The sequence below is a fragment of the Homo sapiens genome, chromosome 3, assembly GCF_000001405.40.
Source record: "Homo sapiens chromosome 3, GRCh38.p14 Primary Assembly".
NCBI lineage: Eukaryota > Metazoa > Chordata > Mammalia > Primates > Hominidae > Homo > Homo sapiens.
In genome coordinates, this window is record NC_000003.12 from 186,920,713 (window position 1) to 186,937,002 (window position 16,290).

General features: G+C 47.4%; 1 protein-coding gene and 1 pseudogene across 2 annotated transcripts in view, besides 5 other annotated features; one reads left to right on the top strand and one right to left on the bottom strand.

Annotated features, from left to right (window-relative positions):
• RPL29P9 (ribosomal protein L29 pseudogene 9) lies at nucleotides 1,443-2,088 on the bottom strand (annotated as a pseudogene).
• Nucleotides 9,429-10,037: an enhancer, noted in NCBI's record as "H3K27ac hESC enhancer chr3:186647930-186648538 (GRCh37/hg19 assembly coordinates)". NCBI's record gives its function as "activates a minimal SCP1, AML or CMV promoter by ChIP-STARR-seq in naive H9 embryonic stem cells {active_cell/tissue: H9 hESC(naive)}" and the evidence as "EXISTENCE:reporter gene assay evidence [ECO:0000049][PMID:30033119]".
• Nucleotides 9,725-9,804: a silencer, noted in NCBI's record as "silent region_14989". NCBI's record gives its function as "represses an Ori minimal core promoter by ATAC-STARR-seq in GM12878 lymphoblastoid cells {active_cell/tissue: GM12878}" and the evidence as "EXISTENCE:reporter gene assay evidence [ECO:0000049][PMID:35858748]".
• ST6GAL1 (ST6 beta-galactoside alpha-2,6-sialyltransferase 1) overlaps nucleotides 9,814-16,290 on the top strand; it is a 148,028-nt gene continuing 141,551 nt past the window's right edge. For both annotated transcript variants that reach the window (NM_173216.2, NM_173217.2), the window contains exon 1: nucleotides 9,814-10,122. The gene's annotated coding sequence lies outside the window, so the exon portion shown is untranslated. The remainder of the gene's footprint in view (nucleotides 10,123-16,290) is intronic.
• Nucleotides 10,045-10,234: a silencer, noted in NCBI's record as "silent region_14990". NCBI's record gives its function as "represses an Ori minimal core promoter by ATAC-STARR-seq in GM12878 lymphoblastoid cells {active_cell/tissue: GM12878}" and the evidence as "EXISTENCE:reporter gene assay evidence [ECO:0000049][PMID:35858748]".
• Nucleotides 12,131-12,180: an enhancer, noted in NCBI's record as "active region_20946". NCBI's record gives its function as "activates an Ori minimal core promoter by ATAC-STARR-seq in GM12878 lymphoblastoid cells {active_cell/tissue: GM12878}" and the evidence as "EXISTENCE:reporter gene assay evidence [ECO:0000049][PMID:35858748]".
• Nucleotides 12,201-12,260: an enhancer, noted in NCBI's record as "active region_20947". NCBI's record gives its function as "activates an Ori minimal core promoter by ATAC-STARR-seq in GM12878 lymphoblastoid cells {active_cell/tissue: GM12878}" and the evidence as "EXISTENCE:reporter gene assay evidence [ECO:0000049][PMID:35858748]".

A 16,290-nucleotide genomic window follows, 5' to 3' on the forward strand; every position in this document is an offset into this window, starting at 1 on the left:
AGATCTTTGAAGCAGTAAAACTACCTCAACCCTCTATGTCAAAACCACTGCGGTGAAGGAAATGTGTTATCATAAGTCCAGATTCACACAAAGCCATCTCAAATGAGTGTCTTCCTTCTTCTCCCCAGACTTCTGGCCATTCTCTATAATCTCCACTTATCACTTTACACATTTTTCTTGGCACTTTGAAAAGACAGGCTGAAAACCCAGGCTAATGATCCCTGAGCAGTATGAAAAGTCAGAAAATAATGAGCAGGTCCTGATTCCTCTCAGGGGCCTCATTATGAAGGACAAGCCACTGAAATTTCTGCTTTTTCTCAAGTCTTTTGTTCTTTATACATTTTTCTGGGCTACCCTCTGGCCCCTTATTAGCATTTACAACAGAATCAGAAGATTTGGGCTCTAGTCCAACTGCTGCCGCTTATTAGCTAGGTGATCTTTGGCAAGTTATTGTACTTTCTAGACCTCAGTTGATTTCTCAGTAAAATAAGGATCAATCAAAAAATGTATAGGAATGCACCTCGCAAGTCCTCTAAATGTGTAATGCATATTAAAGTGAGTAGATGAATCAAGCAGGTGTATTGTACCCCTTTCAGCTTAACCCAACCACCAGAGAAGTCCCAGATTCTGCAACAAAATACCTCTTCAATAGTCCACTCTGAATGTGGACTGAAGACCTCTGCATCTATTCTGGGGAAGAAAATGAGTTTCCTAATAACGATCCTTCCTGTAAGTTTGAGAAAAGCGTCACAGAGGAACCCGGTCTGTAGAATTACAGCCCAGCTGATGGGTTGGGACCCCAAGCAGATTGGATCCAACCCTTTGAATATAATCATATATATGGTTAATACAAGTGCCTGTGCTTACATTCCCCCAGACAGTCACAGACACACACAAATCTTCCACCTCAGTGGGCCTGAGCTGGAGTCCCTGCCTCCTGGATGAAGTTCTGGGGCCTCCACGTCATGGCCTTGTCTGAGCCTGTCTGGTTAGAGAAGTGCAGGCTCTTATTATCATTATAGACTGCCTGCTTGGTAATTGAACTGGACAGCTGAGTGCTTTATGATATCACCAAGTAAGACTGTAATGGATAAGGCTGCACTGTTCAGGGGCTATTTCCTGCACTGAACCATTTCAGTGCTTCCCAAATGCACATGTTATTGTCCGAACACTTAGACCTCAGCAGAGCTGGTTACAGGTTAATCCAAATCACCACCTCCTCCATCAGCTCCTGCCAGGAGGATGCTGAGGCTGTACGCTCAGGGATTTTTTTTTTCCTCTTTTTTCTTTTCCTTCAAGAAACAGAATCAATACACATGTGCACTCAGGTTTCTAATAGCGAGCTGTCAAAGTTTAACCTTGAGCCCTGTACAAAGAGGGACTAGAAAATTAATGTAGTTTCGTAGGGAGGTGTTTAAACTTTAGGCAATAACTTTTTGTTTTCCTGCTTCAGGTTTATTTGTGCAAATAGCACAGAAGGACCCCAGCCCCGTGCAGATGGCAGCCGGCGGGGGCTGGGGGAGGGGGGCGGTTGCACCAGTCCTTCTGTCCTCATGTTGGCAGACAGAGATATCTACTCTGAAGCCTTTGTAGGGGCCTGAGCACCTTTGGGAGCCTGAGCTGGAGTTGAAGCTGGAGCTGCAGCCTGGACCTTGGTTTGGTCCTTGGCCTTGGCCTTTGGCCGGCACAGCCTGAGCCCCTTGGCAACGCGGGCACGAGCACGCTTCCCAAGCTTGGGGTGGGGAATGTAGGCAAGTCGATTGAGCTTGTGGCTGACATCCTTTGGGATCTTGGGCTTAGCCTCCTTGGGCTTCACAAGGGCCCTGATAGCCTCGGCATGTGCACTCATGGCCTCGGCACTGTTGGCCTGCATCTTCTTTAGGCTCTTCTTGTTGTGCTTCTTGGCAAAGCACATGTTCCTCAGGAACTTGGGGTCGACCCCCTTAAGAGATTCGTATCTTTGTGATCAGGCTTTCTTGATACCATTTCTGTGCCATTTTTGGGACTGGTTGTGTGTGGTGTGGTTCTTGGACTTGGCCATGTCTGCACTTTAAGCTGTGGCTCCTGAAGCACCTACAATCGGAAGAGCAGGAAATAGCTTAATGATAAGAAATGTGGCTTTTTCCAAAGGTTATTGCCCAGCTATTTGTGTTTAATTAACTACCGGTGATGATAATCAATGAGACTGTTGCTGAGGCTGTAACCACGCCTCTGCTGTCTAAAGCCCACAGTCCCTTGGCAAAGGGTTCCTCACTCAGGGCAGCACCAGCAGAGAAAGCTCCCTTGGTGAAGGAGCACGAACATGTTCAGGCATGGTTGGTGGCTTTTTCCCTTTGGAGGAATTTCTTTGTGAGAAGCTAGAAAGAGCCTTAGAGGTAACCCAGTGGACTTGTCTGTAAACCCTGCAGCTCATCAGCCTTGCCTGGGAAATTTGTTAACAATTATAGATACCCAGCGTCTGACCCCAGAACCATTATATCCTGGGGAGGAGAATGAGCATTTATACTATAAACAATTTCAGCAGGTGACTCCAAAGTTCAGCCAGGCTTGAAAACAACTTATTTTGTCCAACTGCCCTTGTTCATAAAGTAGTAAACTGAGAACAAGAAAGGGCAAGTGCCTTAGCTGAGGTCTGCAGGCTGGTTGTGAGAGTTTAATGTGGAATGCAGGCCTGCTGTCTCCTAAACTGGTGTGCTGTGTGTTATGTGGCCTCTCTCATAAAATATTGGCTCTCCTTGGGGTGAGATGTAGAAAACACATGTGAGTAAAACACAGTCAGTGATGGGGTAATCCTTTTAACTGAATGTTCAAGTCACCAGGACTCAGCGCTGGCCGTCACTTGCTGTAACTAGTCATATATTTTGGTTAAGAATTCAGCATCACTGGGTGGGTGCCGTGGCTCATGCCTGTAATCCAGCACTTTGGGAGGCTGAGGTGGGCGGATCACCTGAGGTCAGGAGTTCAAGACCAGCCTGGCCCACATGGTGAAACCCTGTCTCTACTAAAATACAAAAATTAGCTGGGTGTGGTGGCGGGTGCCTGTAATCCCAGCTACTCGGGAGGCTGAGGCAAGAGAATTGCTTGAACCTAGGAGGCGGAGGTTGCAGTGAGCCAGGATCGCACCACTGCACTCCAACCTGAGAGACAGAGCGAGACTCCATCTAAAAAAAAAAAAAAAAAAGAAATCAGCTTCACTGGCTGTGTGCCACGGCCCATGCCTGTAATCGCAGTACTTTGGGAGGGTGAAGCGGGCAGATGACTTGAGATCAGAAATTCGAGACCAGCTTGGGCAGCATGTTGAAACCCCGTCTCTACAAAAAACACAAAAAATTAGCTTGTTGTGATACAGGCGCCCGCCACCATGCCTGGCTAATTTTTTGTATTTTTAGTAGAGACAAGGTTTCACTATGTTGGCCAGGCTGGTCTCGAACTCTTGACCTCAGGATCCACCAGCCTCTGCCTCCCCACGTGCTGAGATTACAGGCGTGACCAAAAACAACCTTAATTTCCAGCTGTAGGAGAATGGTTGAATAATTTACGACGCATTCACATATTGTTAATAGCTACCGCTTATTCTGTGCTTACTGTGCCAGGTATTGCTTTAAGCACTTTTCTTGTTATTAATTAATTTATTTTTTTTGAGACAGAGTCTCTCTCTGTTGACCAGGCTAGAGTGCAATGGCGTGATCTCAGCTCACTGTAACCTCCACCTCCCAGGTTCAAGCAATTCTCCCTGCCTCAGCCTCCTGAGTAGCTGGGATTATAGGTGCCCACCACCATGCCTGGCTAATTTTTGTACTTTTTAGTAGAGACGGGGTTTCGCCATGTTGGCCAGGCTGGTCTTGAACTCCTGACCTCAGTTGATCCATCTGTCTCAGCCTCCCAAAGTGGTGGGATTACAGGTATGAACCACCATGCCCGGCCCATGTATTAGTTAAAATAACTTTATGGGGCAGATACTATTATCCTTACTTTACAGTTAAGGAAACAGAGCCAGAGAAGTTAAGTAATTTGTCCAAAGTCACCAAGCTAGGAGGTAGAAGAGTCAGGATTCAAACCTGACTTGAGAATCCTCTCAACCACGAAACTGTCTCTTGTATAGCCAACCATTAGTACAATAAACCACTAATAATTTGCTGAAGAATGCTTGCTTTGCATGTAATAAGGGCTAAACTGAATGACTACATTTATTGTTAAATACACATAGGAAATGCTTATGACATATTTAAATGGGGGAGAAAAGCCGGATATCACTGTACATACATTATAATTTTAACTATAGAAAGTTGCAGAAAAATGCCCAGGAAGAAAACAGGCCAAATGGTTCAATTCTGTTTGTGGTTGATGGGCTGACAATTTTTCCTCCTTGCTTCTTTAACTTTGTCTGACTTTTCTGAATTTTCTAAAGCAAATGTTAACTGTAACATCAGAAAAAACACTATTAAAAACATGAGACCTTACGGACGCAGGCTCGGGACAGATCACCACCAGGCAGCAAACACTGATCCTCCTCCACTCAAAGAAATTAACTGCAAAGAACTTTCATTGACCTGTGTAACCTCTTGCACAAAACATTGACTATCCCTACGATTTATTCTAACTGTCATCCTTAGATCATTAATACATAGGAGGCAATTTCTACTTTGGTTCTGATAGAAGTCTCCCAAGAGAAGCCAATTTCCTGAATCTTTTTGAGAGAATTTATTATAAGCATCTTTGCTTCCTCAGAGTCCCCGAGCTCTTGTATTCCCTGCCATTATCAGTGTATCTGGTCTCCTGGGCATAGCTTATGAGTAGATGTTCAATACATGAAAATCATTATTACGAACTGAGATATTTTGCTAAAACACATGTGATTTGGGAACAGAGTCTTGGTTTCTCCTCGTATCTTCCCAGGGACTTAGGATGGGGTTGGACACAGAAGATAATTGGGTGAAGGGCAGCCTAACTACTCATGTGCCCACATGATACGTATATGTCTATTTCTCTGACCTATCCTGATCTCGCCATGCCCATGTTCTACTCTGAGGTTTCTGGAGCCAGCAAGTCACTTCTTGCTGTACTTGGGGCTGTGGGGCCAGCCATCCTCCCAGTCTTGTGGCTGTGATCCTTTCATGAGACCTGTTTCTAGTTTCCAGCCCCTGCATTCTAGCACTCTTCTTCTCTGCCCCCACTCTGCTTTATCAGCCCATCTGTGCAGGTCTGCCTCACAGCAATCAGCAGGAGCCATCCCTGTGTGCTTAAATTAGAGATGCTGTTATTCTCTCTCTCTCTCTTTTAATAAAGAAAAGGAAGTCATTTCTTATAGTTATGGAGGCTGAGGAGTCCAAGGTCAATGGACTGTATCTGGTGAGAGCTTTCATGCAAGTGGGGAGTCTGCAGAGTTCTATAGTGGCACAGGGCATCACACGGCAAGGGGGCTGAGCATGCTGCTATTTTCTTTCTACTTTTAAACTTGAGTTCTACAGACTTAGTAGACTAGCTGTGAACATATATATATATATATATATATATATATATATATATATATATATATATATATATAAAATCATCCATAAGGCTGGCAGCACTGAAAGCCAACATGGTGGGCACAGGCAAACCACAGTTCTTTTAGGCCCCGAACCTATCCTCATATTAGACAACATGTACTGAAGAGGAGACGTGATATGAAGAGGAGAGCTGTGAGGTTTATTTAAGGAACTTGATGAACATCTGTAGTGGGTGGGGAAGAAAGATTTGGGAGGAAATTTTCAACTGCTTATTGTCTTTTTTTTTTCCCCTCATGAAACATCACCTCCAATTCAAGAGTGTTATGAACATATTATTTGCAAGTGGATTGTTGTAAATGAAAATTATGTGTATTAATCCGTAAGATGTCTGAAATGATGACTGAGCAATGCATTACCTAAAAATATTATATATTGGCTAAGGTTGAGGTCAAGGGTTGGGGGAGGGATGGGGAATGTGTTAGTCTGTTTGGGCTGCTATAACAAAAACACCATAAATCGGGTGGCTTGTAAACAACAGGAGTTTATTGCTTATGGTTTTAGAGGCTGGTAAGTCCAACATTAAAATAATGGCAGACTTGGTGTTCAGAGAAGGCTCAGTCTCCTGGTCATAAGTGGTACCTTCTAGCTGCAGCCTCACATGTTGGAAGGGGCTAGCTAGCTCTCTGGAGTCTCTTTTATTTTACTTTTTAATATTTATTTATTTATTTACTTATTTTTGAGAGAGAGTCTTGCTCTGTTTGCCCAGGCTGGAGTGCAGTGGCGTGATCTTGGCTCACTGCAACCTCTGCCTTCCGGGTTCAAGCAATTCTCCTGCCTCAGCCTCCCGAGTACCTGGGACTACAGGTGACTGCCACCACGCCCAACTAATTTTTTGTATTTTTAGTAGAGATGAAGTTTCACCATGTTGACCAGGCTAGTCTCGAACTCCCGACCTCAGGTGATCTGCCCGTCTCAATCTCCCAAAATGCTGGGATTACAGGTGTGAGCCACCATGCCTGGTCCGGGTCTCTTTTATAAGGGCGCTAGTTCCATTTGTGAGGGCTCTGCCCTCATAACCTAATCACCTCCTCCAGATGCCCCACCTCCAAATACCATCATCTTGGGGGTTAGGAATTCATTGTACGAATTTTGGGGGGATACAACATGCAGACCATAGCAGGAAGCTGTGGGTGGAGGGCCCAGAACTGAGATACTGTCCAGAGGGAAAGTGGGTATCTGTACTTCTCAAAAAAACCAAAACCAACCTGTCAAGGCAGGGACCCCAGAGAAAATGGGAGGAGAAGCCTCACATGTATAGACTGGGAGGACAGGATCATCTCCAAAGTAATGCCCCAGCCTCTGCCTCTCACTTATAGGTCAGAGGGTCCTAAGTGATAAGAGAGAACCTTGGTGGAGGCTGCTCCACAATGGCCCCCATCCTGGAATTTTACCAGGAGCACCCTTGCTTGCCCACTCATCTGTCTCAGACGCCCAGGAAATTTTTGCACGTGTCATATCATCTGTGCTTATCTCAGTGTTGAGATAACCTTTTCCCTTGTTTTCTCCTTAATTTGGTTTTCCAGTTCTCTGCAAAAGAGAACTGCGGAGTGGGGACTGGACAACCTCTGAAAGAGCGCCTTCTGCTTTTGTGGAGTGCAGTGGCGTGATCTCGGCTCACTGTAAGCTCCGCCTCCTGGGTTCACACCATTCTCCGGCCTCAGCCTCCTGAGTGGCTGGGACTACAGGCGCCCGTCATCGCGTGCCCGCCTAATTTTGTTTTTGTATTTTTAGTAGAGATGGAGTTTCACCATGTTAGCCAGGATGGTCTTGATCTCCTGACCTGTGATCCGCCCGCCTCGGCCTCCCAAGGTGCTGGGATTACAGGCGTGAGCCACCACGCCCAGCCCCGGTTAATTTGTTTTGTGTTTTTAGTAGAGACAAGGTTCCACTGTGCTAGCCAAGATGGTCTTGGTCTCCTGACCTCATGATCCGCCCGCCTAGGCCTCCCAAAGTGCTGGGATTACAGGCGTGAACCACCGCACCAGGCTGTTCTTAGTTCTTAAGTAATGTTGACATATGGGTGATGATGAAGGAGATGATTAAAGCTTTCAAAGAAAGTGGAAGAATGTGTCAAATTCTCTCTTCACTTCCTAGATGACTTCAGTTTCCTAATCCATAAAATAGGACTAAGACCATTACTTATCTGATGAAAAGGAGAGACAATGTAATAAATAAGGTGCTTTGAATCCTGTATTAGTCCATTGTCACACTACTGAGAAAATTATAAATTACCTGAGACTGGGTAATTTATAAACAAAAGAGGTTTAATTGACTCACAGTTCCATATGGCTGGGGAGGCCTCAGGAAACTTATAATCATGGTGGAAGGTGAAGGGGAAGCAGGGCACATCTTACATGGCGGCAGGTGAGAGAGAGAATGCAGGGGAAATGCCAGACACTTATCAAACAACCAGATCCCGTGAGAGCTCCCTATCACAAAAACATCATGGGGGAAACCGCCCCCCACGATCCAATCACCTCCCAGGAGGTCCCTCCCCTGACACATGTGGATTACAATTCAAGATGAGATTTTTGGGTGGGGACACAGAGCCAAACCATGTCAGATCTCCAAATGGTAGCTATTATTTAGATGTCCTTTTCTTCTGTCTTGTTACAGTCACTGACACAGTTCAGGCTCTTATTATATCTCCATTGATGTCAGCTTCCAATCTAGTCTCTTGCATTCTCTGCTTCTGCCATCTATTTTCCAGTGTGGTGCCAGAGGAATCCTTGTAAAATACAAAGATGCATGTCATGCTACTGCACAGAATCTTTTAATAGCCTCCTTTTTTTTTTTCCCTTTTTCGAATAGGGCCTAAAATCTTCAATGTAGCATCCTTCCAGAAATAGTCTTCTGAACTTGGCTGCTTCTATTCATTCACGCATACATACATTTTACTGTCAGGAGCACCTTCTATATGCCAAACACTAAGCTACGTGTTTCACGTAGGTCATTTCACAGGATCCTGAAAACAACGCTTTCCTTAATATCTCCATTTTGCAGAAGAGGAAAGGGAGGCTCACAGGATGTGGAACTCACCCAAGAAGGCACAGCGAGTTGGTCATAAAGATTTGAATTCACTCTGGCTGGCACTCCCTTCAATTGGAGCTCTTTGTACTGAGCAAAAATGCCTCAGGGGCAGCAGGGAAGGGAATGACAGTATCAGCAGAAGGGAGCCAGGATCAGGACAGGGAGGAAGCAGTGTTTGGAAGAAGGGTGCTGGGGACAGGGTGCGGATGTAACTTCCCTTTCCAAGGTTGGTGATGTGGGGTAGGCACCTCATTTGGAGACAGAACTCTGGGCCTGGGCTTCAGGCACTTTAAGTGTGCACTGGACTTTGTGTTCCCAGAGGACCCCCAAACCTTCCAGTATCTCCTTCCTTTCCCCTTTCCCACCCAGCACACAGCCTGGTGCCTAGTGTGCACTCAGTAGACAACTGGGATATGACTATTGCCTCTGGTAGTCACATCCTCTCTTTGGGCTATGGGAGGCTGGACTGGAGGCCTTAAAGGCCCCTTCCGCCCTCCTGTTGGGCAGTTTTTCTTTCTTAGGGAAATCGCCTTGGGGCTATCGGGGATGGTCAGTACGCAGCTTGGTTAATCCTCTTTCCTTCCCCAGCAGCCCCACCGTCGTCCGGGTGAAAAGAAAGAACCTCGCTCCCTTCACCATCCAGGCTGAGGCTTCAGTCTTTCAGCCTGCAGCTTGGGGTGGAAGCCTCTGGGTGCAGGGGTTCGAGGACGCTCCTCTCCTTCTGTATTTGCCATTTGAGAGCGCCCAGTAGGAGTCATGCCTCAATGTTAGGAGGTTAATGCCAAACGCAGTGAAAGATTTTGTTCTTTCCTATTCTAGATAAGAGCAACACGAGTCTTCGGAGAGGTTAAGCGACTTCCTCAGGGTCTCGCAGTCAGCCGGTAGCAGAGACCGGGTGTACAGCACCCGCATGTTAGGACCAAAAGCCGGACACTGCTGGATTGACCCCTCGCGGCCAAGCGGGGAAGAGGCATTTAGGGGTCCTTGCGCAGCCGCGTGGCCCCTCCCACTCGGCCCTCGATCCACCCTCCTTGAGAGCAGGCAGGATTCTAGCATCACCCAGTGCCTTCATCAAGAGTCTTTAACCCCAAGCCCGCTCGCTAGCGACCTCCAGGCCGGTTTGGGGCGCGGTGTGGCCGGTGGCGAGAGGTGGAGTGGGGGCGGAGACCGACCCAGTCTTCGCAACTCTATTTGCATACGGAGGCGACTCGCTTCCTTCCCGCCCCTCCGCCGCGCTCTTCTTCCTTCCTTCTCCAGTCCCTTCCACTGTGCGTCTTCTGTCCCCCGTTCTTCCCCAGCGGACCCCTCTTTCGAGACTCCCTAGTGGGGTCCCCAGCTCCCGGGCGATCCTGCCCTTGCCGAGCGCGTTTTCTGGAGTCACCTGGGGGAGGGGAGTCCTGGGCAGGGCCGGGCTGGGGAAGACGCCTGGGGCACTGCCCGGCGTTAACAAAGGGAGCCGATACCGACCGGCGTGGGCGCGGAGCGGGCGGCCGCCACCGAGCGTGCTGAGCAACCGCAGCCTCCGCGGCCGAGAGTGCAGCGAGTGAGTAGGGGGTGCGGTGGGCGGCGGCGCGGCCCGGGCTATCCCGGGAGGAGTGTGATGCAAAGGGGCGCGGGAGGATAGCGGAGGCGCGGGGCCCGCGGCGCGCGTAGGGCGCAGGGAATCTCTCTCCAGCTCCGCCTCAGCTGCCTTGGCTCCGGGGCTGGCCGCCTTTTGGTTGGGGGTGTGTGCATTTTTGTCAGGGCCAAAGGGCCACCCTGGCTTCTCTCTGGCTCCGCGAGCCTGCGGATCCACAACAAACCCACGTGCGCACAGCCCCGGGGAACACGGATTTCTCCACGGCACCGTCAGTATGGGGTGGGGTGGCGTGGGGGCATTGCGCCTTGCAGAGTCTGGGTTTACGGATCGACAAATTGAGGCCCGCGGCAGCGGAGGGGGCACAGGCACCATAACAAACGCACGTGCGCCCTGCCCGGAGAGCTGGACGCACTGCATACCCTTAGGGGCCGCCCTGCGGTGCCGGGCCATTGTCTCAGCCTCGGGGGAGGGAGTGGCTCTAGAGGCGCCACTTGCTGGAAGAGGGCGAGAGAGACATTTAAAAGGTACCGCTTGGGCATCAGACTAAACTGCCAGACTTAAAAAGGGAAACCAAAACAAGAAAGCAGCTACAAAAAGGTTACTCCAGGCTGAGTCGGTCCCCGGCCGTGGCGCATTCTTTTGGGTGAAGTGGACCACCCCTCACCTTCACCTCCTGGAGGTCTCTTAGAGATGTGGGTTGGGTTAAGGGTCTAAGGGTGCCCCTCAAAAAAAGAGAGTGCTGGGTGCACTATTGTCCCCGCACTCCGGCGATTGCCTCTGTGGGGATATTTTGGTCGCCTCCTCAGCCTGCGGGAAGAATGTACGAGTCGCCCAGTGCGGTCTTGCTCTTTGCCTCTGAGGCCCGTGTCCGTGTGCCCAGACACCCCAGATGTCACTAGCCCCTTTTGGCTTGTTAATGCATTTTCGCAAGCAAGGCCAGCCGAGACCTCGTATTCTAGCTGGGGACGTACAATTTTCAGTTCTGAGTTTATTTGAAAGAAATTCCGAGGTCCGGAAAAAGAGAACTCTTGTTTGTTTTGCTTTTTCTTTGCTTACATATGCTCAGCTCAGCTTTGCAGATGTTAATCGGACACGATCTGCAGCGGGGAGATGGTTTCGCGGTGAATTGGTCTCTGAGGCGATGGTGTTGGTGCAGGTTGTGGGCGTGCAGTGTGAGCAGGAATGGAGGCGCCGCCGCCCCAGTGTGTGCCTGCTGAGCGGGCGGGCTGCTGCCTCACCTTGGCTAGTGTGGCTGAAGATTAACCTGTCCCCGGGGGGGGAACTGGAGAGCCTCCAATCCTATTCCGCTGTTATTGAAAAGGTCTAGAGAGCATCTAGGGAGCCTTCTCATTTTACAGGCAGGAAGCTGAGGCCGGAGAGTTCAGCCACTTGTCCAAGTTTAAACCGGGTGAAACGGGCCACAGAGAGAACACTTGAGTGTGGGTCTCCCAACTCCCACTGCATCGCTCAGCGGGCAACTAAAGGCAAAACCGGGATTCTGTGATTGGCCTAAAAGGCAGTGGCCTTAGGCAGAATAGGGTGAAACAAAGAGTAATTCAAATAGAAAGCTGCACCCTTCCATTATCCCTTTCAAGAATTCTTTATTCTGTTGAGAAAAAATAGATTTAGTAATTCCTTACTCTCCTTCAAGCCTTTCAAAAGCTTAGTTATTTTTCTCTCCTGGCTGCCCCTTCCCCTCAAATTGGAATAAGGCCAGCTACGGAGACTCAGATGTTTTGCCTCTCATCCTTGTGCCAGGAGGCCTTTGTTTGGGCAAAAGCATGGGCTGTTGACATCAGCCCCACGGGGAAGAAAGTGTGTCTTAGCAAGCTACTCCTGAGCCACTTGTGGGAGAACAAAGCATTGTTTTCACTGATCTTATTAAAGTTACTTTTTTTTTAACGAGAGTCCCATGGAAGTAGCTGCTTATTTTTGTATTTGGCAGAGAAGTAGGAAAACCAAAAAAACACTGAGAAGCCGGATTTCCCCAAAGTTAACATGTTGTTTTGCACTGTGCCTGTTATCTCCTAGTTACACTTGTTTCTTTTCCTTAGAGTTTCCAGCGTGTTTCACTTTCAATGTGATTCTGGTAGCAACAGGAGGCAGCTGGATGCCTAGGCAGATAGGGTCAGGTACCCGGTGAAACCCCCACCTCCAGGCCAAAGACAGTTTAAAGCCTGAAAGCCAAGCTACGAGTTAAATCCTCAGACCAGAGTGAGAACTTGTTTGGCGTGCTTTCCCCTAATTGATTCCTACATTTCGCCTGTTTTACATATACCCACTTTTTCCTAATTGGTTTTCTACGCTGCCGTGCCCACCTTTGAGTGGTGTCTTTGCTTTCATCTTTTTTGCATACTCACAAACCGGTCAGCATGCACTCCCTATTCTGAGTCCATAAAAGGCCCCTGACCCAGCCACATTGGGGAACTTTTCCGTCTTCAGGTAGGGGACCAACCCGGTGTCCCCTCTCTGCTGAAAGCTGTTTTCAACACTCAATAAAATTCTTATCTGCCTTCCTCTCCCTTCAATGTCCAGTGTATCCTCATTATCCTTTGGTGTGGTGCACGAGCTCGGAACCACCGAACGCGGGTACAAGCTATAATACAGTGAGCTGGGACACACCTGCATGGCCGAGCGAGCACAGGTGGGGCATTGCTGGCCCGAGGACCAAGAAGAAAAATCCTACATCAATTCCTCTTGGCACTGCAGTATAGTTTTCTCACCAGGACGCTGACCCTGTAAGGAACTTCAGAAATCATGTGACTGGACCCTTTTACTTTCCAGATGGGAAAAGTGAGGCCTAGAGAAGAGAAATTGCTTGCCTAATGATACACAACAATGCGTGGTCTACTTTTAGTGCACCTTTTTGCGTAAAAGGGAAATGGTTGCATCAAACCAGTAGTTGTTGGTACTCCAGAGAAAAGCCAAAGTTATGGTTGTTATAACAACACCCTTTAAGTCAGAGAACCAATTCCTTATGGATTTAAATAGGTTTGGTTATTAAGCAAAGCCAGGGATCCCAGTAGTAGGTATGCTGAATAGTGCAATTATCTCTGGGGATCAGCTTTCTTTAGTGTTTGCTGAACGGTTCACTTTACTCTTGTGCTGGGTTCCTCCATGTCTCTGTCTTGTGCTTCCCCATTTAGGGGCTGCTTTGTATGAAATCATAAGGCAAGAGGCAGTGAGAAGACAGAAGAGAGAGGCGCCACTTAGCTGTTCATGCTACTTAACCTCTTGGGCTCCAGTTTCCTTCTTTGTACAGTGAGGGTTCTCCTTGCCCAGTCTCTGCACAGGCTGTTCCAGCGGAGCGGAAGATGCTCAGGCCATAGGAGGGGTTTGGGGTCATCTTCCTGTCTCTAGTATTACTTTAAAACCAGCAGGCTGGGCCAGGTGTGGTGGCTCACTCCAGTAATCACAGCACTTCAGGAGGCCGAGGAGGGAAGAGTTCGAATTCCTTGAGCTCAGGAGTTTGAGACCAGCCTGAGCAACATAGTGAGACTACCTCCCCCACCGCCATCTCTACAAAAAATAAAAGAACAAAATTAGCTGGGCATGGTGGCGTACTCCTGTGGTCCCAGCTACCTGGGAGGCTGAGACAGGAGAATCGCTGGAGCCTGGGAGGTGGAGGTTGCAGTGAGCCGCGATCTCACCACTGTACTCCAGCCTGGGGACATAGCGAGACCCTGTCTCAAAAACAGAAAATAAAACAAAACAACAACAACAGAAAACCAGCAGGCTGCCTCTGCGTTGTGTAAAGTGAGGGGAGTAAGGCGTATGAATCTCCTGGGGTTGTTGAGGGCATTAAGTCACATGATGCATTCTTATGACTGGTCAGACCTCTTGGCAGGCTTGAGTGCTTACCAGCTTTTAAAAAATTTTATTTATTTATGTATTTATTTATTTATTTATTTTTTCAGATGGCGTCTCGCTCTGTCACCCAGGCTGGAGTGCAGTGGTGCAATCTCGGCTCACTGCAAGCTCCGCCTCCCGGGTTCACGCCATTCTCCTGCCTCAGCCTCCCGAGTAGCTGGGACTACAGGTGCCCGCCACCACGCCCGGCTAATTTTTGTATGTTTAGTAAAGACGGGGTTTCACCTTGTTAGCCAGGATGGTCTCGATCAAAAATTTTATTTTTTTTAAACTTTTATTTTGGGTTCAGAGGTACATGTGCAGGTTTGTTATACAGGTAAACTTGTGTCACGGGGGTTTGGTGTACAGAGTATTTAGTCACTCAGGTACTAAACCTAGTACCCAGTAATGATTTTCCCTGCTCCGTTTCCTCCTCCCACCCTCCACCCTTCAAGAAGGCCCTGGTGTCTGTCGTTTCCCCTCTTTGTGTCCACGTGTTCTCATTATTTAGCTCCCACTTATAAGTAAGAACATGTGGTATTGATTTTCTGCTCCTGCATTAGTTTGCTAAAGATAATGACCTCCAGCTCCATCCCTGTTCCTGCAGAGGATATGATCTCATTCTTTTTTATGGCTGCATAGTATTCCATAGTATATATATATATGTACCACATTTTCTTTATCTAGGCTACTGTTGATGGGTATTTAGATCTTTGCTGTTGTGAATAGTGCTGCAGTGAACATATGCGCGCATGTGTCTTTATGGTAGAACAATTTATATTCCTTCGGGTATTTACTCAGTAATGGGATTGCTGGGTCAATGGTAGTTCTATTTTTAGTTTTTCGAGCAATCCCCACACTGCTTTCTACAATGGTTGAACTAATTTACACTCCCACCAACAGTGTATCAGCATTGCCTTTTCTTTGCAACCTTGCCAGCATCTGTTACTTTTTGACTTTCTGATAATATCCATTCTGACTGGTGTGAGACCAGCTTTTAAAGTGGTAGGGAATGTTAGTGGGAGAATGACCCCGTAGGGTAAGCTCATGTGCTCAGATTAGAAGACCTCACCTGTCACAAAGAGGTGTAAAGCAAGGCCTGCCAAACTATCAAGGGAGGCTTTGAGCAGTTGTGAAGTTTGTGTGACTCTAAGGTGACTAGAACTAGTAAAAAAAAAAAGAAAAAAACCCAGAACCTTCACACATAAGTGAGTAATATCTCAAGTCATTCTATTTATGTATTCTGTATTTACCGACAAACAGGTGGTGGGAGTGGAGGGGGTCTTGTGCTTAGCCTGGGATTACAAAGAGCATGGAGACCCACCCATTCTTTGTCCGAGGGAAGTCCAGCCTAGCTCCACCACCCTTGCTTAAAACACTTTTGGCTCTCCCTTAGAAATTGCCCTCAGGAGCTCAGAGAAAATTGATCTAATTTGTCTCAGTATTGACCTCTGGGGTCCCCTTCTCTTCATGAATAAAGGGAAGAGCAGGTGGTAAATGACAGAATACAAGAGGGAAGGCTTCAGAGAAAATCTGGCCCTCCATAAATATGAGGACATGGTTGCATTAAAAATATACAGGAATAATTCATTAATGAAATTCACAGTAATTGTTCTGGACCATTAGATTCCTGAGAATTTAGACAGGGAATTAGTTGCTCTGATGTAGTATCAGTGATTTGTTCCATAAGAACTGAATTAGAGGCAAATGAATTTTTTCTTGCTTGTCTGCAGAAAACTATACGATGGCAGTCTGACTCCTATAGATGTATTTTTGATAGGCTTATATGTAACAGTAGCATTGAGCAGTACAGTTTCACCATATTAAAATACTGAGATGATTTTCTAAGTAATTATTACACCAGAAAGGTCAGGTTAGCCTTCAGAATCAATGTAGTGATTTAAATTTTATTTATTCTGATTATAAAAATAAAGCTAGGGGCTGGGCACAGCGGCTCATGCCTGTAATTTCAGCACTTTGGGAGGCTGAAGCAGCTGGATCACCTGAGGTCAGGAGTTCAAGACCAGCCTGGCCAACATCGTGAAACCCCATCTCTACTAAAAACACAAAAATCAGCCGGACATGGTGGGCAGGTGCCTGTAATCTTAGCTACTTTGGAGGCTGAGGCAGGAGAATCGTTTGAACCCTGGAGGCGGAGGTTGCAGTGAGCCAAGATTGTATTACTGTACTCCAGCCTGGGTGACAGAGCAAGACTGTCTCAAAAAAAAAAAAAAAAAAAAAAAGAAAAAGCTTGACCATTGAGGATAATTTGGAAAGTACTGT